The 25,483-nt window shown below is 35.9% G+C and overlaps 1 protein-coding gene and 1 long non-coding RNA gene across 5 annotated transcripts in view; one reads left to right on the top strand and one right to left on the bottom strand.

Moving 5' to 3' along the window:
* Window positions 1–25,483, top strand: part of LRRTM4 (leucine rich repeat transmembrane neuronal 4) — a 774,692-nt gene that overhangs the window by 512,463 nt on the left and 236,746 nt on the right. The window lies entirely within an intron of this gene.
* Window positions 126–23,949, bottom strand: LRRTM4-AS1 (LRRTM4 antisense RNA 1). Its single transcript, NR_110284.1, has 4 exons — window positions 23,913–23,949; window positions 22,420–22,508; window positions 19,988–20,093; window positions 126–890 (listed from the first exon to the last, which is right to left on the bottom strand). It is a non-coding gene; the product is annotated as an LRRTM4 antisense RNA 1 (long non-coding RNA).

Below are 25,483 nucleotides of genomic sequence, written 5' to 3'. Positions count from 1 at the left end.
TCCTGAGCAAAATAAAAGTGAGTAATATAATATGATAGTGACTTGAAGAGGTCTTCTTTAGATGGTTTGGAAAATGACCGTTTATTCTTCAAATTACTAAGAGATGGAAACTTACACTGTAATAAGAGGCATGAATTTATTGGTAGAGAAAGTGTGCTTAGTACAACAAATAATTTGAAGCAACAAAAGGGAAATTATGGAGGTGAAGGTGACTGCTGTTAAGAATCAAGATGTGGCTACTGCAGTGGCAGAACTGGTGTGTTCAAGTTTAATGTTAAAAATGCGAGACTTACCACAGTCTTAGCTTTATTTTGAATCATACATGGAAATTAGAGGATCAATTACAGTCTTATCAGCAAGTGTGAAGGAACCATACCTTTTGGCACTTGAAAATGTGTTTACTAATATTTAATGTGTCCATAAGACGCTTTGAAGGATATAGTTTATACAATTAGAGCATTTGAGAGGGATGAGTCATATTGCATGAATCATGCTTGTAATCGCTTTTGAAATTCAAAATCACTAGCAGGCTTTGAAAATGTGTGTTCAACTTCTAAGGAAAATGGGAGAAGACAAACCTCCCATGGTAAACAAAATAATGCTACAGAAAACACTTCAGAGGAAAATAGTATTTCTTACAGACGCCAATGTTGAAATCATACAGTAATTACAAGAAAAGAAATTCACTGGATCTGACATTTTTTCCTTTGTGTTGGTCCATGAGTTGTCTATAAATGATGTCAGCTTTCCATTTGTGTTGAAAACATTCAGTGGTTTAGTGCCAGAGTGATTTTGACAAACTTTTTCATTGGTGCCAATTCTCATGATGGTGTGCTCTCAGCATTTGCCTTTGAATTTCAAATGATTGTAAAACTCCAGGGGTTCACACTCTGTGAATGAAAAGAGACAAGAAGATGTCAGTCAGTAAAACTGTTTAGCTGCATTTCATCGTTTTTTTTTTCTTTTCTTTTTTTTCTTGTTGGCTCCAATATGGCTTGAGACCTAGCATACTGTATGATACAGTAAAGTGTTAGACAGAAAGTGCTAACCCAGTCAGAAACAGTGAATCCTACAAGGAAAAAGTAATAAGCTACTAGAAAGGCATTGCCGGCGCCTCGTCATGCCTTCAGGCCTAGAAAACAATTATAAAAATGGTACATTTGGAAATCACTGTGTCCCAGGCAGAAGCAATAAATTCGCTGAGTTGATGTACATGATTGGACTACTGGTAAAAGGATGAGCTATATGGCAAACACACCTCAACAAGAAAGACAAGAGTATAGTCTGGTATCCAGATGTTATTCAATTATACAGCTGTCAGGAATTGCATTGACAACATTTAGTGAATTTAATCCTGTCAGCCCCTACGTTATTTGTTCTGTGGTGACAATGCCAGCAACCTTATTCAAAAAGCTTGATCAATATCATATCAGTGGTGAAATCAGACTATCTACAGTTATGCTGGCTTTTGAATAAAACTAAATTATTTTAAACATGTTGAAGAATCTGAACCATACATTCTGTGATATCTCCATGATTCTGCTTTTAGGAATTTGGCTTGAATTTATTTAAAAAAATACATATTACAATTATCAGAGAAATAAAGGTTAGAGGTTTTACATATCAGCTTTCACTTAAGATGTAAACCTAAATGTGTGTACCACCAGTTCAAGTAATTTTCCTTTAGTTATTGGGACTTAAAGGTAAAGATTGCCATTTGGGATGAGAATAATATATGCTAATACCACACAACATTTGAAGTTTTTACTTATTCTCTTTTTTCATTGTCTCTTTCATTGATGCCTCTGGCCAAACATAAGCGATTGGTTAAACAACAGGATGCTACAGTTGTTCACTTTGGTGTGGTTTACATTTTCCTTCTGTATTTCAGTTTGGTGAAGTGGAGATTAATACCTTAGATAATAAATCTGGAACACAGTAAAAGTGTGCATTTTCAGTGAATGACTCAATTCATTGAAGGAACAATGAAGCTATATGAAAGCTATCTTGGATATAGGACAAAATCACTTAACCTTTGCCATGTCTTTTGTTGGATGGTGTAGATTATGGAGTTGTACTCAGCAGCTGATTCCAGGAGAGTAATTAGGAAAAGAGCCAATTTTCTATTCACAGAACTCTCTCTCTAAAGCCGAATGGAAGACATGTAGCCTTTTCTTTTCCACCGAACCATTGCAAGAAGACTATAAATACCTTCCTTTATTCTTTCCCTTTAGAGAGACTTGAATGGTGAGATTTACTTGCAAAATTATTCGATAATATGTCAGCCAAATGTACAAGTTAGTAACAAACCTATGTTGCCATTTTTATAGACAGCAAAAGCACTATGGCAGATTAACACTTTCTCAGACCTTGTAATTAATTTTTCCTTGGTCCTCCAGTGAATGGAAATGGCTATTTCTGTGTATAGACTTTCATTGCTTTCCAAATATATTCTTTCACATGGGAATGAAATTTGGTCATATAGCCAATATATCTCAGCAAATTTTACATGCATGACTCTATCTTCATATTGATCTTTTTAAATTGCTAGAATATTTTGCACTGTGTCTAAAGTTACTCAGCATTTCCTTCAATATAATATAAAAGGAAGCCTTGATGATTGCTTCCTCTTTTTACTCACAATCCTCTGTGCTTCTTAGTCTTTCTTCTCTTAGATAACAGAATTGCAAATGTGCCCACACTTCATCTTGTGTGTGCATATATATATATGCGTGTGTGTGTGTGTGTATATATATATATTCCTCTTTATTTATTACAGGAAAATTTCAAATTCTCTTGAGTTTCTATTATTGTCAGCTTGCCCAAGTTAAAATTTAATCTTTTTTTTTAACTCAAACTGTTCATACAATAAAGAACAAAAACAAAAAACAAAGCCAACATTCCCATCCTATTAGGTATTCCTCTTTCTATAAAGCTCATCTTTTGTCCTCCTTGAACCTGGATGCCAAAGGATGTTTGTGTCAATGTGATTGGCTAGAGACACATTTGGTACAACTGCTGTCCTCTGGACTTAACGAGTCTCCACAGGATTAAGGTCTGCTCTGACCTCTACTCTTGGTGTTCAACTTTGATTTCCACTGAAGCTTAGCTGGTCTTGCCTGTTTCTTGTGAGCAGCTTGTTCCCACCTGCCATAGACAAGCACCAAAATGTCCAGTCGCAATCCCTCTATTGTGATTCCAGACCCTTCTAGTCTCCCGGTTTTCTTCAAATATTCCATGATCCCCAGAAGTCTAGAATCTCTCCGCTTGTTTTTGTGCATCATGATGATGTCTGCAGGTTCTGGGGGCTACTCTCCAGCTCAACAACTTATACATCTTCCTTAGCTCTTACCCCTCTATACCTCAGAATGCTGCATTGAATACAGGACTTTGCAATTGGCATTGGCCCTAATGTTATGATTTTCTTCTTGTTCCTCTAATCCTCATCTACCAAAATAAAATTTTCTGGAAGCTTTACTTTTGGAATGATAATATTCCTAGGTCATATTTCTCAACCAATTTCCACCATAGCACAGGGAACATCTCTTTAGTATGTGATTTAGTAAAAATGAGCTTGAGAATTTAGAAAACATCTTATTTCTTAAAGGCTTAGGTTCGAAATTATTGTAATTCCTTAGATTCCCAAAGTGTTAGGGTCCAGATTAAAGAATGGATCCTAGCCCATTCTAAGGTCCATTTTATTCTAAGCCATATTTTTACCCCTTAAGAAACGAATGTCCTTTGTTTAAAACATAAAAATTCTCAGAAGAGCATGGTTGAAAAGGAAAATATTGAATCATATGTGAGAAAATATTTTAAATATATATCATTTTGGGGTTTCGATTTATGTATTCATTTAAGAGTTTGTATTCTGGATTCCAGATTACCCAGATTTGAGTTTAAATCCTGACTCTTCTATTTGCTATGTGATTATGAACCTTAACTATCCTCTTTGTGCCTCAGTTTCTCTGTATGTAAAATAAGGACAATAATAGTATCTATGCACTAACACAAGAGGATGTTAATAAATAAGCTAATATTTGTGAAGTGTTTAGAATACTTCTGTATTAGTCTGTTCTCACACTGCTAATAAACACATACCTGAGAGTGAGTAATTTATAAAGGAAAGAGGTTTGACTCACAGTTCCACATGGCTGGAGAGGCCTCGCAATCACTGCGGAAGGTGAATGAGCAGCAAAGTCATGTCTTACATGGTATCAGGCAAGAGGGCATGTGCAGGGGAACTCCCTTTATAAAACCATCAGCTCTTATGAGACAGATTCATTATCATGACAAAAGCACAAGAAAAATCTGCTCCCATGATTCAATTACCTCCCACTGGGTCCCTTCCATGACATGTGGGGATTATTACAATTCAAGGTGAGATTTGAGTGGGGAAATGGAGCCAAACCGTATCATTGCACCCCTGGCCCCTCCTAAATTTCATGTCCTCACATATTAAAACACAATCAGCCAGGCACGGTGGCTCACGCCTGTAATCCCAGCACTTTGGGAGGCCAAGGCAGGTGGATTACAAGGTCAAGAGTTCAAGACCAGCCTGACCAAGATGGTGAAACCCTGTCTCTACTAAAATTACAAAAGTTAGCTGGGTGTGGTGGCAGGCATGTATAATCCCAGCTACTCAGGAGGCTGAGGCAGGCGAATCCCTTGAACCAGGGCAGCAGAGGTTGCAGTGAGCTGAGATCATGCCACTGTACTCCAGCCTGAGTGACAGAGTGAGACTCTGTCTCAAAGAAACAAAACAAAACAAAAACAATCATGCCTTCCAACAGTCCCCCAAAGTCTTAACTAACTCCAGCATTAACCCAAAAGTCCAAGTCCAAAATCTCATTGCAGACGAGGCAAGTCCCTTCCATCTAGGAGCCTGTAAAATCAAATACAAGTTAATTACTTTTTAGATACAACTGGGGTACAGGCATTGGTAAATATACCCATTCCAAATGAGATAAGTTGGCCAAAACAAAGGGTTACAGGCCCCATGCAAGTCAGAAATCCAGCGGGGCAGTCAAATCTTAAAACTTGGAAATAATCTTTGACTCCATGTTTCACATCTAGGTCATGCTGATGCAAGATGTGGATTTTCACGACCTTGGGCAGCTTCGCTCCTGTGCAGTTGCAGGATTCGGCCACCCTCCTGGCTGCTTTCATGTGCTGGCAGTGAGTGTCTGTGGCTTTTCCAGGTGCATGACAAAAGTTGTCAGTGGATCTACCATTCTAGGGTCTGGAGGACGGTGGCCCCATTCTCACAGATCCAATAGACAGTGCCCCATTGGGGACTCTGTGTGGGGGCTCCGACCCTACATTTCTCCTCTGCACTGCTCTAGCAGAGGTTCTCCATGAGGGCACCACCACTGTAGCACACTTCTGCCTGAACATCCAGGTGTTTTCATACATGCTCTGAAATCTAGGCAAAGGTTCACAAACCTCAATTCTTGACTTCTGTGTACCCACAAGCTCAGCACCATGTGGAAGCTGCTGAGGCTTGGAGCTTGCACCCTCTCAAGCCATGTCCCAAGATACACTTTGGTCTCTTTTAGCCATGACTAGAGCAGTTGGGATGCAGGGGACCAAGTACGTAGGCTGCACACAGCAGGGGTCCCTGGACCCAGCCCAGGAAACCATTTTTCCCTCCTAGGCGTCTGAGCTTATGATGGGGGTTGGGGACTGTCACCTTGGCAATTAACATTTGGCTCCTTGTTGCTTATGCAAATGTCTGCTGAAGGCTTGAATTTCTCCCCAGAAAATGGGGTTTTCTTTTCTACTGCATTTCAGGCTGCAAATTTTTCAAACTTTTATGCTCTACTTCCTCTTGAACACTTTGCTACTTAGAAATTTCTTCCAATGGATACCCTAAATTATTTCTCTCAAGTTCAAAGTTCCACAGATCTTTAGGACAGTGGCAAAACGCTACCAGTTTCTTTGCATAGGAAGAGTGACCTTTGTTCCAGCTCCCAACAAGTTTTTCATGTCCCTATGAGACCACCTCAGCCTGGATTTTATTGTTCATAACACTATTAGCTTTTTGGTCAAAACCATTCAACAAGTCTCTAAGAAGTTCCAAACTTTTCCACATGTTTCTGTCTTCTGAGCCCTCCAATCTGTTGCAACCTCTGCCTGTTGCCCAGTTCCAAAGTTGCTTCCACATTTTCAGGTGTCTTTACAGCAGTGTCCCACTACCCAGTACCAATTTACTGTAGTAGTCTGTTCTCACACTACTAATAAAGACATACCTGAGACTGGGTAATTTATAAAGGGAAGAGGTTTAATTAACTCATAATTCTACATGGCAAGAAAGGCCTCACAATCATGGTAGAAGGCAAATGAGGATCAAAGTCACATCTTACATGGCGGCAGGCAAAGGTGATATACAGGGAAACTTCCCTTTACAAAACCATCAGATCTCTTGAGACTTACTCACTATCACAAGAAAGGCATGAGAAAAAACCCATCTGCATGATTCAGTTACCTCCCACCAGGTCCCTCCTACAACACGTGGGGATTATTACAATTCAAGGTGAGATTTCGGTGGGGGTGCAGAGCCAATACATATCAACTTCCTAGTATATTATAAGCTCTACATAAGTAGTTAATATTTATTATAATAATAATGAAAATAAGCAAATAAAAGTAAAATAGAATCTATAATTATAAAAAAAGCTTAAATTATAAGAAACACAAACGTGGACAAAATTCTATCAACAGGAAGAAAATAACAAATAAGAACATAAAAAGCTGAAGTTACAGAATAAGGGAGTTTCAGAGAAGAGAAATTCCATATATTCTTATCGCAAAGTAAAAACTACACATAAAAAAATTAAAAATAAACAGAAATTATACTGAGTACCCACTATATGGCTATATGTCAAGTCTATTCTACATAACTGAAGTTACCACTGTTGACAAGACAAATAAGTTCCTTGCTCTGTGTAGCATAAATGATTGGTGTGGTCCAGAAAACTAGCAAACAAGTAAAAATGAATAGAATAAATTAAAATATTATTAAGTACTCCAAAACGTAAGCTCAATAAATAGAACAGGACAATGTGATGAAGAGTATTGATGGGAGAGGTAGAGCTTAGATTCTGTGTTCTAAGAAGCATCTCTTAAAAAGAGACTTTTTAAGCAGAGACCTAAATGATGAGAAAAAGACAATCTTGGGAGGAGGTGAGAGCAAGGACACCAAGGAAGCAACAAGGGCAAGGAGAGAACAAGGTGTTTTCAGAAATCAAAAACGGCACTGTGGAGTAAAGTCTTGGGAGTTTAAGCAGAAGAGTGGCACATTCTGCTTACATTTTTGAAAGAATGCTCTGGCTTCTATGAAAAGAATAGATTGTTTGAGGCTAATAAGGACATAGGGATAGCAATTAGAAGGAAATAGTTGTATTTCCAGTTAACAATGGTGTCAGATTAGGTAGTCAGCAATGGTGGTTATGGGGAAACAGACCCATATACTATTTATTTGAAAATGTATTGTAGTATTTGCTGGGGATCTGCATACAGGAAAAAATGACTTCCTCTAGCCAAGAATTGGGCATCTACCACATGACTCTCATTAACACATGATTTTTCCAGCTTCTCTTTTAGAAATCTGGGTAGGACACCAAATTTCACTCCTTCTGAAATTACTTTGCAGTCCCCAATTTTAGAGCATCTGGTACTGGCTAGCAAATGAACTCTAAAAGGCTATTTTAAAAGGAAGCTAACATATATGTTTGAAAAGAGGCCAAGTATACATTTGAAAACAGGGGACTCACAATATTATTTGAGAATAATACAGAGTGTGACATTGAAGATTTGCAAAGTCATCATGATGTTGATTCTAAGAGAGTAAAATGTTAAGCGTGTATTTTATAAATTGTGTGGAAGAAAATCAATCAAGCCCTATTAACATAAGCTTTTATTGAAAATGCCAGGCATGAGAAGGCTCCAAATGAACATTCATACTTGGAGCAGGAGGGCAGAGTGTTTTAAGGAGGTTTAACAGGAGGGGTGAGCTGAAGTTGATGTTTGTCATAGATATTTCTCGAAAAGAAAGGGATTGTGCAGATCCGTTATTGTTTAGGCAATAAGACTTTTGTCAACAGTGTTGAACTAAAGCAGTTAGGAGTTGAGATTATATACAAGGGCATGGGAGAAAGGCTCAGGAAGCACTGTGGAAAATTCTTTGTCCTTCAGTGTCTCTCGCAATTGAGTTTTAATTTTTGGAATACCTTACATGGCCTGTATTGGATATCGAGGGGCTGATTTTGTAGTGAATGTAGATATAGAAAAGTGGCTATAAGGATAAAGGAAAGACAGAACTCTAGGGTGGTGCCTTGATTTTGCGCTGTTTATTGATTCTGTTCTTGCCTTCTATCCATAAAGAAGTATTAATGAGAAATTCTCATGCAGAGAAAAGGAATGTTTAATCCACTAAACTCCTAGCACATGCACATACTTGCCTTAGGAATGTTGTATTGCATTCTGATATGGTTGGCTTGTTGAGGTAGCAGGTAGATCACTTTCCTGGGAATTGGGACCCAGGATCTCCATGTAATATATTCATCATTTCAGATCCCCTGTCAGTTATTCAAGAAAAAAGTGTAATCCTAAAACAATAATCAGAATTCACAAGGTAAGCCTGGGGCACACTGGAGAGTAAGTGTCTTCTCTCTTTGGGCCTTACTTTTTTGAGTGTAGATTTTAAGGAGGGCTGGTACAGGTTTCTCTGCAGCAGCTGCTGAGATGACAGCTACTACAGCCCTAAAAGTCAGCACTTCAATGGGTTGAGCCTAAAGCTTCAGAAAACAAGGCAGGATAACTTTAGTTAGTTAGCTTAAATATACTGAACACATTTTTGTATCCTTTGGGCTTAGGAAGAATATTTTATTTGTGTGTCAGGTTCTGTTGTTGCTGGTGTTTAAATGTCTCAAATCGTTCTCCCCTGAGGTATAAGGTAGCTTCTTTTGAAATAAAATACTAAGGAGTCACAGTGCCTTTCCAAGGGCAAGGAGATTCCCAGTGTACAAGAATCAAGGTGTTGCTATGTGAAAGGTCCCTCCACAGCCACCATGGAGGCTCAGGGATTGATTTCAGGAAAAGAAGAAAAAAAGGAATCTTCCTGATGAGAGAGCAGAATCTAAATAATAGTTATGAAGAAAAACAAGATGTAGGAATGACAAAAATAATTTTAGTCATTCTACTACTCTTGAGTTCTATAAGTTTCCAGAACAAACCAAAACATGAATCTCTCTTTTGCTTCCTGTTCCACAAACAACAAACTGAAAGGACAATAAAGAGATACCTTCCACTTCATCTTACTTAGGGCATCCTCTTCTACCAATGGGCAATACTGTGCCTTTGCAGTATGCAGTCCCTGAGCACACTTAATGTTAAAAGTTAGAAGTTGCTTAGCAACCCCTTTACTACTTACGTGTTGTAGATACAACTGACAAGACCAAGGGCATAAGCAATGCTCTACCTTTCTACTAACAGGTTTGCATACACTCTCCCAAGCTCTCATTTATTGTAACCCTTTGAATTTGAAATATCAGCATCTTTGTAATGGAGAAGACCACACAATTACTAACCCTTTTTTTTTTTCTAGAAATCCCTTAAGGCTGAGAAGGAGATAGACTGTATGTTCAGTCCAAAAGAAGAAATTGCTCACTAATGAGGGCAAAACATTCTCCTGTGTCCAGCTGTCCCCACAGGCTCATTCACAGTTTTGATTCAGGGTCATGCTTTCCATCTACGGACATACTTTCCCACTCTTTCTCCGTATCAGCCATTATCTGGGGCTTTTGTCAATTCATCAAGTCCAGTGAAGCTAAGAAACCAAAAATTCACTTAGGTGATATTTTTCAGTCTACCTTCAGTAATGTCTAAAGAAGAACAGTCTATTGTACAGCTTTCTAGCTGAAAGAAGCTATTATCATTGTCTGTTTCATTCTTTCCATAGTATATAGGGCTGTCACTCTGCCCTTGTGCACTTTTAAACTGTAGCAACTTAGTTTTAAGGTAGAATGAAAACCACCTAAAAATGGTGTGTTGAAGCAGTTTTATAAAAGTTTGGAATCTACATTATATAATTGTTCAAAATGACTTTTAGTTGAGATCCTGAGACAAGTGGAAAATAGGTACAGACAGAGAAATTCTAAACTGTGTGCCGTGAAAGACAAAATTGAATTCACTATTATCTGGGTGAAGAAAATTCAGTATGCCAGATACATGTAGATTGTTTCTACTGTATTAACAGCTTAAGTGAATCAACTTTTAAAATCTGAAAGGTAGAAAAGCTGGAGAAATTTCGCATGCCCTTCTATTCCTGTCATGATTCAAAATGGAGTATCTCTGTTTTGGCCCGCCTAGGCTCAATATATGTTGATTTTTAAAAATTGAGAGAAACTGTTTATCTGCCTCACATGATCATTTGCAAACTCCTCACCAACGCTTTTTTTTTTTGTTTTGTTTCCTTTTGTGTTTTCCTTCCTGGATTTAAGCATTTTTTGCAGCTCTACGATTGGCCCCTAGAGAGTCTTAAGTCACAGCCATCATTACTGTGTACCAGTTGCTCAAGTACATCTTGAGATTCTATCAAGATATTTTCTGAAACTGTTCACTTGAGAATTGTATCAGTCTAACTAGAGAGCTGAGGGATTTGGATCATACCCACAGCTGCCATACAGTAGCTTCCCAGGGTACCTACAGCTGGGGTTAATGTTAATGTGTGGCCCTTCTACTATCTATATTATAATCAATTTCAGTGCTGCTTAAACAAACAGATCCATGATGCACACACACTACCCCTCCCCAACACACACACAACAACAGTAACAACAATAATATCAACAACCATCTATGAAGTCAAAAACTTCAGGATGAGACCCAGGAGTCTGCACTCAGCTCTCTAAGTTAGACTGATAGGAAATAGAAAGAAACACATGTTAGGGCGAGTAGTTACAGTTCTTATACTGTTGAGTAATATTCTTTATGATAGTGGTTTAATTACGTTGATTTATTGATTTTGCTGCAGTTCAGTTTGAAAGTGTTTGGGATGAGTCATAACCACAAAGGGGCTATAAGTCAGGACTGACTGAAAGAAATCTCAATGTACGCCTGATGTTAAGGAAAAAAAAAAAAAACAGAAAATATAGAGGAAAAACTGAAGGAAGGGTAACTAGGGATTGTGACAGTGACTGTTTTTGTCACATTGTGTTTTTTGTTTTTTTGGGTTTTTTTTCTCTCCAACGGGATACACGTAAATTTTATAGCAGTGGATGTCAGACTTCAATGTGTACAAAAATTGCCTGGGGTTTCTTGTTAAATGTGCAGATTCCTGGGTCTCATCCTGAAGTTTTTGACTTCATAGTTGGTTGTTGACATTATTGTTGTTACTGTTGTTCTGTGTGTGTTGGGGAGGGGTGGTGTGTGTGCATCATGGATCTGTTTGTTTAAGCAGCACTCAAATTGATTATAATATAGATAGTAGAAGGGCCACACATCATTATTAACCCCAGCTGTAGGTGCCCTGGGAAGATACTGCATGGCAGCTGTGAGTATGATCCAAATCCCTCAGCTCTCTAGTTAGACTGGTGATGTAACCCTCTAAACTTATGTAGGAAATAGGAAGGATTAAACTGAATAAGCTGAATGGGATAGCAGGCAGTGTATTGTATATAACAGATACTCCATAGATCAGCAGTCCCCAACCATTTCTGGCACCAGGGACTGGTTTCATGGATGACATTTTTCCACAGACATGGGGAGCAGGGTGGGATGGTTTTAGGATGATTCGAGCATATTACATGTATTGTGCAATTTATTTCTATTATTATTATATTGTAATATATAATGAAATAATTATACAACTCACCATAATGTATAATCAGTGGAAGCCCTGAACTTGTTTTTCTGTAACTAGACAGTCCCATCTTGGGGTGATGGGAGACAGTAACATCATCAGGCGTTAGATTCTTATAAGGAGTGTGCAACCTAGATCCCTCACATGCGCAGTTCACAATAGGGTTCATGCTTCTTTGAGAATCTCATGATGCCACTGACCTGATTGGAGGTGGAACTCAGGCAGCAATGCAAGCTATAGGGAGCAGCTGTAGATACAGATGAAGCTTCACTTGCTGGCCGGTGCTCACCTCCTGCTGTGCAGCCCAATTCCTAACAGGCCATGGACTGGTACTGCTCTGTGACCTGGGAGTTGGGGACCCCTGCCATAGAATGTTAGTTCAATTTTCTCTAGCTCTGTCACCAACCACATATTCTTAAATGTGACTTCATGGGTTCTTCTTTGTAAACAGTGATGGTATAAATTAGTAGACTGAATCAGCAAGTGGGAGCAGTATGGTATCAAGGAAAACTGGTTTGAGCTTTGGTGGATCTCATGAGACAGTAACTCAATTTTGTCACACCATTTTAGGGTTTCAGATTCATATTTCATCAGTGTTCATGCGTGATGAGGCCTGAGCTGGAGGACTGAGTCATGCTGAATAAAACATCTCAACAAACTAAGGCAAATAAGAGATTTTTAAATCATCAAACTTACAGTGAGAAATAAAGCATTTATACTGGTAGGTACACCAACATATTTACAATCAATGAGCTCTACTGCTGTATTTGAACTGCATGAGAATCAAGAAAAAAATCAGGACTGAAAGTAAAAATTCACTTCTAGAAATCAGTGTCAAAGAGATATAAATATTTGAAGCCCATTTGATTGAGCTTCATAAATTGATAGTTGCTGGGGGAACATGAAATCAGAACAGGGGAAATTAGGTTAATTAAAATTTTACTGACTTTGAAATAAGACATTCTGAGAAAGCTATCTAAAAAAATCTAGCTCTGCATAAATACTCAAAATCACTTGACAACACCCTGTCCTTTAGCTCTGGCTCCTTCTCCCTTGATGAGGACCAGCATTTCTTTCTCAGCATAGGTATTTGCCAGGCTTGATATGTGCTGTTTATCATTTCCTGTATGTATAGAAACATTGACAAGTTCCAGCCAAGCATCTGCAGGAGTGAGCCTCTAAGAAATAGATTGCAATAGGTATGACTCTCAGGCCAATAACTCTGTTATGTCAATTATGTAATTTTGTTTTCTATAACTACACTTAATTTCATTTTAACATTTTTTTCTCAGCAGATTGTGAGGAAACTTTTCATCAATCATTACTAACAGTGTGCATTTGCTCCTAAAGATTATTACCAGAGGTATTTTCCTCCCAACATCCTACTGTGGTCATAAATGCTTATGACATTTTTCATATTTCTAGGCAAGAGAATATTTGTATTAAGTTCGCACTTAAGAATTAGTGCAGCTTTATAGTCATTTTTTTATTTTTCCTGTGAATTTTTACTAATATTAAGCAAAATTTTACTTGATCTTATACAATTATTAAGAGTTGTCTTTTCTCCATAATTTTCAAAGAAGTAACCTCGCTTAATTTTATTTTACCTCTGAAATAAGTCTTTGTTCAGGTAACCTGAAAAGAACACTTTATAGGACTCTAAGCAAAATTATGCAGATTGACACAATTTTCATTAGTAGGACACAGAATCTCTCATGATTAACATTATTTAATAATTTCTCAACAGAGGTTTTGTTTAAATTCATGAGCTTTTGATATCATATTTCTCTAAATCAACAAAATTGATCTAAGTTACATTATCTAAGAGTTCAATAATTTTCTCTGTTCTATGGCCCCTCTAAAATATATTACATCTATTGCTTGTTTATGATAACATGTTTAATTTTCAGAATTTCTAATTGGTGCTTTTGCATGTCAACTCATTCCTGATTTATATATACCTATGTTTTGTTCCATAGTTTCCTGTTGGTGATTTACGATCTTCTTATTTTATTTCTCTGAGTATTTTAGGTAGATTCACTTTATAATCATTTTTAAAAAATACTACATTATCTGCATACCTTCGTAAGTTAATTATTTCTCCCTGAGTTTTTTAAATAGTATTCTTAAGTTACTAGTTTTTTTCTCTGTGCTTTAGACCTTGATATGCCAATTCATCTTGAATAGGTGTTTGTGTATGCATGGGCATATATTTACTTTGTATTTCCCATGTTCACCCATGTGTGTCTAGTTGTTTCCAGCCTGCAAATTGGGATCTTATATTTATATTGGAGTTACAGAGTTCACATCTTGTAGAGATGCCAGAGTTATAGTTCCTGAATCTATATGGCTTACCTTGGTCCCAGTTGTGTGGACATCTCTATTCCCTCCAGCTTTCCTAGGTAGCAACACTAGGCAATGACTGTGACTTTTTTGGATCTACTTTTGTGGGTGTTTCAGCTGTGACTAACAGGGGAATTTATTAATTTTTACTTTGATAGAGCCAGTCCCCCGTTTGCCTCCCCCAGAATTTGATCTAGAAACTTCATGGAATTATCATTCAGGCTTCATTTATTGCTGTGGGTTTCAGTTCAACATTTGTTCACTGAGATAGCTATATGGTGTAAAAGTACTGCAACTATCATGCTAGGTATTTAGAACCAAGGTGGAGAGGAATTCCACATATAGTTACAGCAATATCTTGACCAGAATTCACAAGCATAAACATTGTGCATCCATATTTCTCTTGAACATGAATTCAAAGGCAGAAAAGTAGTTCAATAATTGCTCTTGAATATGCTACTTTTAAAATATGTGTAAACTTAATTCATAGGAAATATGAAAATAAGGAATTATCTAGGTAGCTCTTTCCATTCGTAATTATTCCTTACCTTTCTTTCTGTCTCTTATATGCATTTTCTAAACTTTAGTTCTACAGAGCACACTTCAAAATTTAAAAGTTCAGTTTCCTGAGTCAAATTTCTCCTACCAATCTCAAGTCTTATAATAAGACAGACTTGTCAGTTATCAGATTCAACTCTGAGGTCTACCCTTGGAACTTTCCTCTTGATTTAGATAAAAATGTCAGGAAGGGGTTTGAGCAAAGATTTCATTTTCCTAGTTAGGTCAGATAATAATTTAGCTTAGATAGAATGCCATAAAATAGAGTTCCCTAGCTTTTTTTAAATAAAACTTTGTGTGCATTATTGTTGATAGTAGGGTGAATCAATTTCACACATTCATCAAAACAGCAGATAATACACTTTTATGTAATTATTTGCTGGATTTCCTTTACTATAAATACCACGTTCATAAAATCATGAGATAAATCTTCAGTGTATCAATCACAAATTACTCATCTTATTCTGTTAATTTTGATATTTCTTGAAAAGCTAATATTTCATAATATTTCTTATAGTTAGACTATGTCAAGAATGATGCAGGATTTGAAATTTTATCCTATTTACAAGCAAATAGGTTAGCCTGCCACAATCTCAATAATGGTAGCAGAAGTCATGAGGCTCCTGGATCAGAGACATGGGATTTTATTGCTCATGGCATCAACAGTAGCCAAAGCTTCACGCTGATTTACATCAGTTCTCTATGCTCTCCAATCCTACTAAGGAAATGCAAAGGGCCCATTTTGGATGCTTGCACATGAAATTGGTTATATGTTGCAGGATAGAAACACAGCTTGGGGGATTCACCATCATTGTATTTATTATTTTATTTTATTTTTTTCTCAATTGTTTATTTTTATAATTTTTAAAATAATTTCAACTTCTGCTTTAGATTCAAGGGGATACATGTGCAGGTTTGTTACGTGTGTATATTGTATGATACTGACGTTTGGGATACAACTAATCCTGTCACTCAAGCAGTGAACATAGTACTCAATAGGTAGTTTTTCAGTTATTTCCCACTGCCTCATTCCACCTCTAATTGTCTGCAGTGTCTATTGTTGCCGTGGACATTGGTATGTCCACGAGTACCCAATGTTTAGCTGCCACTTATAAGTGATAACATGTGGTGTTTGGTTTCCTGTTCCTGCATTAATCTGCTTAGGATAATGGCCTTTAGCTGCATCTATGTTGCTGAAAAAAAATATGTTTTCATTTTATGTTATGTCTGCATAGTATTCCATGGTGTATATGTACCAAATTTTTCTTTATCAAATCCATGAATGGTGGACACCTAGGTTGATTTCATATCTTTCCTATTGTGAATGGTGCTTCAATAAACTTACAAGGGCGTGTGTCTTTTTGGTAGAACAATTTATTTCCCTTTAGATACATACCCATTGTTGGGACTGCTGGGTGGAATAGTAGTTCTATTTTTACTTCTTTGAGAAATCTCCAAACTGCTTTCCACAGTGGCTAAACAAATTTACATTCCATGAAGAGCGTATAAGCATTCCTTCTTCTCTGTAGACTCATCAACATTTGTTGCTTTTGTATTTTTAATAATAGCCATTCTGACTTATGTGAGATAATATGTCACTGTGGTTTTGATTCACATTTCTCCGATTATTAGTAATGTTGGAATTTATTCATATGTTTGTAAGCCAAATGTATGTTTTCTTTTGAGAAGTGTCTGTTCATTTTCATTGCCAATTTTTTAATGGGGTTGGTTTTTGCTTGATGAGATATTTAAGTTCCTTATGGATTCTAGATATTAGATCTTTGTCAGATACATAGTTTGCAAGTATTTTCTTCCATTCTGTTGATTGTTTACTGATAGCTTTTTTTATCCTGTGCAAAAGCTCCTTTAATTAGTCCCTACTTCTCAATTTTTGCTTTTGTTGCAATTGTTTTTGAGGACTTAGTAACAAATTATTTGCAAAAGCTGATGTCCTGAATGGTAGTTCCTAGGTTTTCTTCTAGGATTTTTACAGTTTGAGGTCTTACTTTTAAATATTTAGACCATCTTGAGTTATTTTTATATACACAGAAAGGTAAGGGTCCAGTTTTATTCTTTCAGACAGATTAGCCAGGTATCCAAGCACCAGTTATTGACGAGGAAGTCCTTTCCCCACTGCTTATTTCGGTTGAATTCATCAAAGATCAGATGGTTGTAGGTGTGGGCTTTATTTCTGGGTTTTCTAATGTGCTTCATTGGTTTAAGTGTCTCTCTTTGTACCAGTACCATGCTGTTTTGGTTACTTAAGCCTTATAGTATAATTTGAAGTCAAGTAATATGATACACCCAGCTTTTTTTTTTTTCCTCAGGATTTCTTTGGCTATCTTGGTTCATTTTTATTCCATATGAATTTTAGAATAGTTTTTTCTAATTCTATAAAAAATGACACCGATATTTTGATAGGAATAGCATTGAATCTACAGGTTGTTTTGGGCAGTATAGCCATCTTAATGATATTGATTCTTCCAATCCATGAACATGGATTGTTTTTCCATTTGTTTGTGTTGTCTTTGATTTCTTTCAGCAGTGTTTTGTAGTTCTCTTTGTGCAGATCTTTTACCTGCTTGGCTAGCCATATTCCTAGATATTTCATTTTCTTTGTGGCTGTTGAAAAATGTTCTTGATTTTAATTTCAGCCTGGACATTATTTGTATATAGATACAACACTGATTTTTTACATTAATTTTGTATCCCCAAACTTTAATAAAATGGTTTATCAATTTTATTAGACTTTAGGCAAAGTCTTTAGGGTTTTCTAGGTATAGAATCATATCATCAGCAAAACAGATAGTTTGATTGCTTTTTCTATTTGGATGCCTTTCATTTCTTTCTCTTGCCTGGTTGCTTTGGCTAGCACTTCCAGTACTATATTGAATAGGAGTGGTGAAAGTGGGCATCCTTGTCTTGTTTCAATTCTTAAGGATAATGCTTCCAGCATTTGCCCACCCATTATGATGTTGGCTGTTGGTTTTTCATAGATAGCTCTTATTATTTTGAGTCATGTTTCTTCACTGCCTAGTGTGCTGAGAATTTTTATCGTGCAGGGATGTTAAATTGTATTAAAGGGGTTTTCCATGTCTATTGAGATGAGCATATGGTTTTTAAATTTGATTTTCTTTATGTGGTGAACCACATTTAATGACTTGTGCATGTTTAATCAATCTTAAATCCCAAGAATAAAGCCTAGTTTATTGTGGTGAATTAACTTTTTGATGTTCTGTTGGATTCCAGTTGCTAATATTTTGTTGATGATTTTTGCATCTATGTTCATCAGGGATATTGGCTTTGAGTTTTCTTTTTTTGTTGTGTTTGTGCCTGGTTTTATTATCAAGGTAATGCTGGATTCATAGAATGATTTAGGGAGGAGCCCTCCTCTTTGATATTTTTGGAATAGTTTCAGTAGAATTGGTACCAGCTCTTCTCTGTACATCTGGTAGAATTTGGCTCTGAGCCCTTCTGGTCAAGTTCTCTTTTTTGTTGGTAGTTTTTTATGATTGATGCAATTTCAGAACTCAATATTAGTCTGCTAAGGGCTTTAATTTCTTCCTGTATCAATCTTTGAAAGTTGTGCATTTCAAGGAATTTGTTATAAATTTCCGCTAGAATTTGTACTTCGTGTGCATTGGTATGTTCATAACAGTGTTGGAGAATCTTTTGTATTTCTGTCACATAAGTTGTAATGTCACCTTTGTTGTTTCTACTTGGGCAATCTTCTTTTTTCCTTTGTTAGTCTAGCTAGTGGTCTATTGATCTTGTTTGTCCTTTCAAACAATAAATTTTGGTTTTGTGATCCTTTGTATGAATTTTTGAGTCTCAATTTCATTCAGTTACACTCTCATTGTAGTTATTTCTTTTCTTCTGTTAGCTTTGGGGTTAATTTATTCTTGCTTTTCTAGTTCCTCTAGGTGTAATGTTAGATCATTAATTTGAGATCTTTCTAACTTCTTGATGTAGGCATCTATGACTAAAAATTTTGCTCTTAACACTGCCTATGTTGCATCCCAGGGATTTTGGTATGTTTGTCTCTGTTTTCGTTTATTTCAAAGAATGTTTTCTTTCTGCCTTAATTTTCTTTTTTACCCAAAAGTCATTCATGAGCAAGTTGTTTAATTTCATGTAACTGTGTGGTTTACAGAGATCTTCTTGTTATTGATTTCTGTTTTGTTTCACTTTGGTTCAAGAGTGTGGTTGGTATGATTTTGATTTTTTTTAATTTACTGAGACATGCTTTATAGCCAAGCATGTGGTCAATCTTACAGTATGCTTCAGGTGCAGAAGACACTAATGTATATTTTGTGATTGATGGGTGCAATAGTCTGTAGGTGTCTATTAGGTCCAATTGGTCAAGTATAAATTTAAGTTCAGAATTTCTTAGTTAGTTTTCTGCCTCAATGATCTGCCTATGCACTATCAGTGGTTGTTGATGTCCCTCACTATTATTGTGTGGTTGTCTAAGTCTTTTTGTAGGTCTAGACCTATTTGTTTTATGAATCTGTGTGCTCCAATGTTGAGTGCATATGTACTAAGGATGGTTAAGTCTTCTTGTTAAATTGAACCCTTTGTCATTATGTAATGCCCATTCTTTTCCTTTTTTACTATTGTTGGTTTAAAGTCTGTTTTATCTGATAGAAGGTAGTGACCCCTGCTCTTTCTTGTTTTCCATCTGCCTGACACATCTTTTTCCAACTCTTTGAGCCTAGGTGTGTTATTACATAGGAGATGAGTCTTTTAAAGACAGCAGACAGATGGGTCTTGCTATTTTATCCAACTTACTCTGTACCTTTTAAGTGAGGTGTGTAGACTATTTACATTCAAGGTTAATATTGATGTATTAGGTTTTGACCTAATCATGAAGTTGTTAGCTGGTCATTTTGTAGTTTTTATTTTGTGGTTTCCCACCGTCTTTTTAGAAAGCAAAAGGAAGTCTACTTTTTCATAGGTGGAAACAAAATTAAGATTGGATTAGAGGTGTTACTTATTTTTTCACAATTTCCCTGCAAAAACAACCCTGAGAAATTTTCCTGGTAAAGAGTGATTAAGGCATTGCCTTCTAGATTTACCCAGAAAGAACTTTTATGGATGCTGAAACTTCATGGGGTATTACCTCTCCCTAAACTAAATAATGAAGCATAATTTTATGAAACCTATTAGATATTTAAACATAATATGATTAACAATATAAGTAAATAGCCAGCAGTTACTCACCATTGTGCCATGTACTTTATCTGTTTTATCACAATTAGCTTCTATCATTTCTCCCATTGAACTTTTAGTCACTTCTTTTTGAGATAAGTAAACCAAATCTTAAATACTTTAAGATGGAAAAAAAGAAGTTTAGAAACATTATAGAAATACTTTTTATAAAATAACGATAATGACAACTACAATCAAAACAATAGTAATAATAAGCTTTAATATGACTGGTATAGATTTTTTAAATGTAACAATAACACACTGAGATCCATTACTGCCATTTCTAGCTCAGGATACTGAGATTAGGGAGATTAAGCAACCTTGGACAGGCTAACTATTCATTGCAAAGACAGGGAAAGATTGCTCCAGAACATGCATTTTCAACTCATTTGCTGTATTTTCTCTCAACATGTAACTATGATTTCATACTAACAAAAGTATCCTTTTTGGTACTATATCCAACATATGCAATCTTTGTTTATGCTATTTTATACAGTTGCAGATTCAAAATTTTTACTAATTTTTCTGTATTGAAACACAAATGAAGTAATTCGCTTCAAACCCTTAGATCATGAATAAGAAAATCTTTGTTGTGGGTCCTCTTACAGACCACTAATGCATGTTTTTGTGGAAAACTAGTAGCAATTTGGGAAGTATGAAAGCTGAACAGACCATTGTAGATACCATATTAAATAGATTATTAAATTTTCAATCTACCTGCTACTCAGTCACTTTATTCAGGGACAGGGGTATCTATGATCAAGACCAACAATTGAAAAACAATTGAGAAATAATGGATAAATCAAAATGAAAACTGAACAATACATGTAATAATATGTAGAAATTGTATTGCCTAAAATAACTATTTGAGAAGCATTGAAATTGTTGGGAAAAATTATTTGATAAGATGCTTGAAGTAAAAGTTAAGAAAAGACACATTTTTGTTTTCATAATAATTGATAATACCTGAACTGTTTTAAGTGATTATTTCTCAGAGGTTATTTGTTTTGCTAAACACTACAGTAAGATTTATTTTACCAATCTGAGTTTTCTAGCTTCAGTTCCCTCATACCACTGCCTCCCAGAAAAGAATTAATAGTTTTCTGGTGGCAATTCTGGTAAAAAGGTGATAGGAGATGTCAAGTCCAGGTAACGCGTGGGGAAGAAAGAATGGGGTGGGTGGGGGTGGAGGAGGACCACCTGTTATGGAACTGACGAGAGTTCTTGGAGAACAGAAATATTTAATAAGAATTTTTAAGGTGTTTCACTATAATATATGCAATGTAATGACTAAGTTTATAGCCTCTACAAAATATTTAGTAGAAAATTTGGGGCTTTTAAAAGGTTTTATTGTTTCTTTTTGAGGAATTCGAAGGGGTGACTTTTGAAATACACGATTTCAGTAATTGCAGCATAGTGTAAGTTGATGTCCATAGCATAAGGGAAAAAAGAAAACTCTTGTGTAGACTGGAACATTCCATCACCATGGCAACTTTATGGAGAACAAATTTCTCTGAATTAGCAGCTGGGTCAAGGATATTATCATCATCAGCCACCTCAATGCCCCGATTTAGGTTTTAGTGGAACATGTACCATGTTTTGGTAGATTGCTGGCCTACCACGGACATGTAAAGGATTCATTCTACTCTTTTCTTTCCTTGTGCTTAAGGAGACTTGCTATGAAATTATCGAGTTGAGCCTTTACCTGTTAAAATTATCAATATCAATGACAAAAAAATAGGAAGACGAAGCATTTGGAGAAATTAGGTTGGCTGCAGACTGGAAAACACAAGAAAACCCATAGTAATGATTAGAACTAATTATAGAGGCAGATGAAAGTTGATAGAAGAAAAAAGAACCCAGAGCTAGAGTATAAAGAAAGTATCTAAGAGTGACTCTGTAGTCTCTAAATATTCTTTTATCACACATAATACTAGTAAAGTTTTTAAAGCATTTACCCTGCATATTTAGCATTTGAAATTTATTCATATAATAAATATATTCCATAGCAATCATTATTAGTACTCACCAATATTCAGCTCTTTTCTTTTTTGGGCATATGGGTGACTATATTTCCTGGCCCTTTTAGTCAGTGGAGTAGTGAAATGTCCTGCAGAATTTTCCCGGTGTTTCTTTTTCAGGCCTCCAAAGTGGAGGAACACCATGAGCTCATGTTAGTGCATCTACAGGATAATGGAGACTCTGTCGTACTGGTTGTTCGAGAAACTGTGTGGAGCAAAGCCCTAGGCAAACTAATGTGGCTTAAAACTCTAAAATACATTTATCTCTCATTTTTCTGACCATAAGAGATGAATATATTTTACAATATTAAGCCATTGAAATTTTGAAATTGTTACCACATCATTACTTAGATTATTGTAAGCAACATACACACACAGGTGAAACTTAAAATTACTAATACAAAAATATATATAGAAACTCACATGTCTTCTTTCTGTACCCCATTGCATATTTCTGAGCATTCCCTTGGATCCTTTTGCTCCCATTTGGAAATCACTGCTCTAGACATCACCTAATATTACCAAGAGAATATATAGACATATAAGGTCAATTATGATAATTCTTTAGAGTTTTATTTTTAAAAGAATAAATTATTTAATCCTGAAAAGTGTGCACTTTGTCACCAGGTGAAGTTTGGGTACTTTCCTTGCATGTTATAAGTGCTAGCATTCTGGCTACAATCAGATGTTATACAACCTTTGGTTATAAAAAGAAACAATACTTCTTAAAAAGAAAATATAAAAATTAATAATACTGTAAAAGACAATTCTTACACAGAATTTACAAAAAATGTGAGGATTAAATAAATAAGAATTGTTATTCCTAACCCATATCATTCTTCGAAAATACTCCAGATTTTATTTTTTTCACGCTTTCTAAAAAATAAATAAAAGAATACTTTATTGAAGCCAATACCTTCCCACTTTTGGCTACTGACTGTCAGATAAATATGGTGTCAGAATAGTTTATGCTACCTAGTTATTTGAAATGTTTTCTATCAGTTACCATGCAAATTGAAGATGAGGTAATGTATTTGCCATGTTTATTTTAGTTGCATACAATAGAAAGTAAAATCAAATTAGCTAAAGCAAAAGAAGAAATGTATTGGCCTATATAGCTGCAAAGTCCAAGGAGTAAACTTGCTTTAGGCATGGCTGAATCCAAGAGTACAAACAATATCATTAGAGATCTACCTCATTTTCTGTCTCTCGGCTCAGGTTTTCTCCCTGTTGATTTTCTTTTCAACCAAACTTATTCTATGTGCCAGGATAGCTGTGCCAGTTAGTTCTGGGCTTTCATTATGTTCAACTTCTGAGATTTCAGTAGCAAGATAAATCTTTGTAATTACCATGCCCCCAAAATGTTCAGATTAGCCACATTAGTTACATGTCTTCTGTAATGTAAAAGCACAAACAACTATTGGTTTCTTTGCAGAAGAGAAGACCTCCAAAAAGGAAAAGACCTAAGTAACTTAGAAATGGAAAAATCTGACCTATGCAGGGAGGGCTTCTGATTTAGCTCTTGCAGACATCATATCTTGAAAAGAAATCTCTCTAGTATATTTTTGGTTAAAGACTATGAAATGAAATCTTCTACAGTGCTAAATTTCCTGCAGCCAAATCATTTTTAGTAATCAATAGCAGAAGAAAGGATAATAATGCTTTCCTTTACAACTAAAAGAACAGAATTTTAAATGCACACTCTTCAGAAGTTCAAGTCAAACAATGAAAATTCAAGTAGATATTCAGAAGGAACATCTCAAAAAAAAGTAGCACTGCTAAAATGCAAAAGTCCAATGAAAATCTAGAGTTAACATTATTTAAAATCTAACTAGATTAATCACTCATATCTCTAGATGGCAAAGCACATGATAAAATTAAAAGTTACAATGCGAATGGAAGGTCGAGAACTCTACCCTTTGCTAGAAGCAGCCAAGTGAGAGATTGTGAATTGCGATCTCAGTGGTTCAGAGGGTGGATTACTTGTTTTCAGGTCTTTGAAATCTCTAAGTAAGAATGTTAGTGGAGTAGAGTGGGGCAAATTCATTCTTCCTGCTCAGTCATTAACGACTCACATTGTCTTTCAATATTCTTTTATGATTAAAAATGATGCGTGCGTAGTACATTAACAGAGCCACTATAATATACAAACACAATGCCATTCAAAAAAGCCGGTGTTTTGCTTAAATAAATGTGTTTTTAAAGCATTAGATTTTATCTCCTTTTTGATTGCCTCTCACATTAGTCAGAAGCCTCTAACTTCCTGGATTCCTTAACAAAAACTTCAAATCATGCGGCAAGACATTTGACATAACAGAATTTTCACTAACATCCTTTCAGCAGCTAGCAACTTTAGTCTCAGGAGGAGATCTTTCACCCGGCTCTGGGTTATTAAAGCTAATTAAAGTGATGACCCTTGTTTGCCATACTGTCACTCAAGGTCTCTGGAAGGGACATCCTATTGCTTCTTATTCCTCTGTTCCTTTTCTGTGGTGTTAGCAGACGAACGGAAAGAAATGCTATCCCACTGGGGCTCTAAGCTGAAAGCAAACTCTGTGAATCGTTCTTTTTACAGAAGCAGCAATCTCTCAATTTACTTTTAAGGAAACATTATCCCCCACCATTTAATTCACAGGTGGGGAACTTTTTAAATATAAACAACTTTTACATCTTTCTAATACAAACTCTTTCACCAAATTTTCTAAATTAGGAATGCATGTTTTTTTACAAAATAATCTCAAATAAAATTTTAAAAGCTCTTCTAAAGTGTACCAAAATTTTGATAGAAGATAAAGAATTCCTTTTGGGGGAATTGTATAAGAGAAACTGCTTGAATGTATGGGATTTTGAAAGACCCACTCATACAAAGAAAATTAATACTTTAAAAAAACTTTATTTTGAATGTCTAGAATGCTGTCGTAGTGAAACTTCTATCCTCTGATTTTCCCCAAATTTCAGAAAAAATAATTATTTTGCTCTGAAACGAGTTAATAATGCTTGCTTTTTCAAATTCCCCTCTACTATCTACTTGTGCAAATGTATGTTATGTCTACATCAATTTTTTCATCATGTTAACTTGAGTGTGAGCAGCAATATAGTTAGGAATGCTTTGAACTGCAGTAAATACACTTAACATGAGCTTAAACAAGTAGGAGTTTATTCTCCTAGATAAAGAATCTTGAAAATAGCAGTTTAGTGGTAATTCACTGGCTCCATCATATCTCCAGTGTTTCAGGCTTCTGTTGTTTTTCTGATCTTCCAATCTTAATGTGTCAGTCCTTGACCTCAAGTTGCTAGAAGCCTTCTCCACCTCCAGCACCATATCACAGTTTAGGGTAGGAGGAACAGGATGCTGCGGAGAGCCTGCTAGCTGAGTATGTGTCATCCAACAGGCTTTTCCTTAAGTCCCATAGGCCAAATGTTACATGGCCATGCATACATATCGGTAAGCTAAGAAACAGGGAATTTTGGATGTAGAACAACTAAA

The sequence above is a fragment of the Homo sapiens genome, chromosome 2 (assembly GCF_000001405.40).
Source record: "Homo sapiens chromosome 2, GRCh38.p14 Primary Assembly".
Classification (NCBI taxonomy): Eukaryota; Metazoa; Chordata; class Mammalia; order Primates; family Hominidae; genus Homo; species Homo sapiens.
This window is presented reverse-complemented; position numbering and strand designations above follow the sequence as displayed.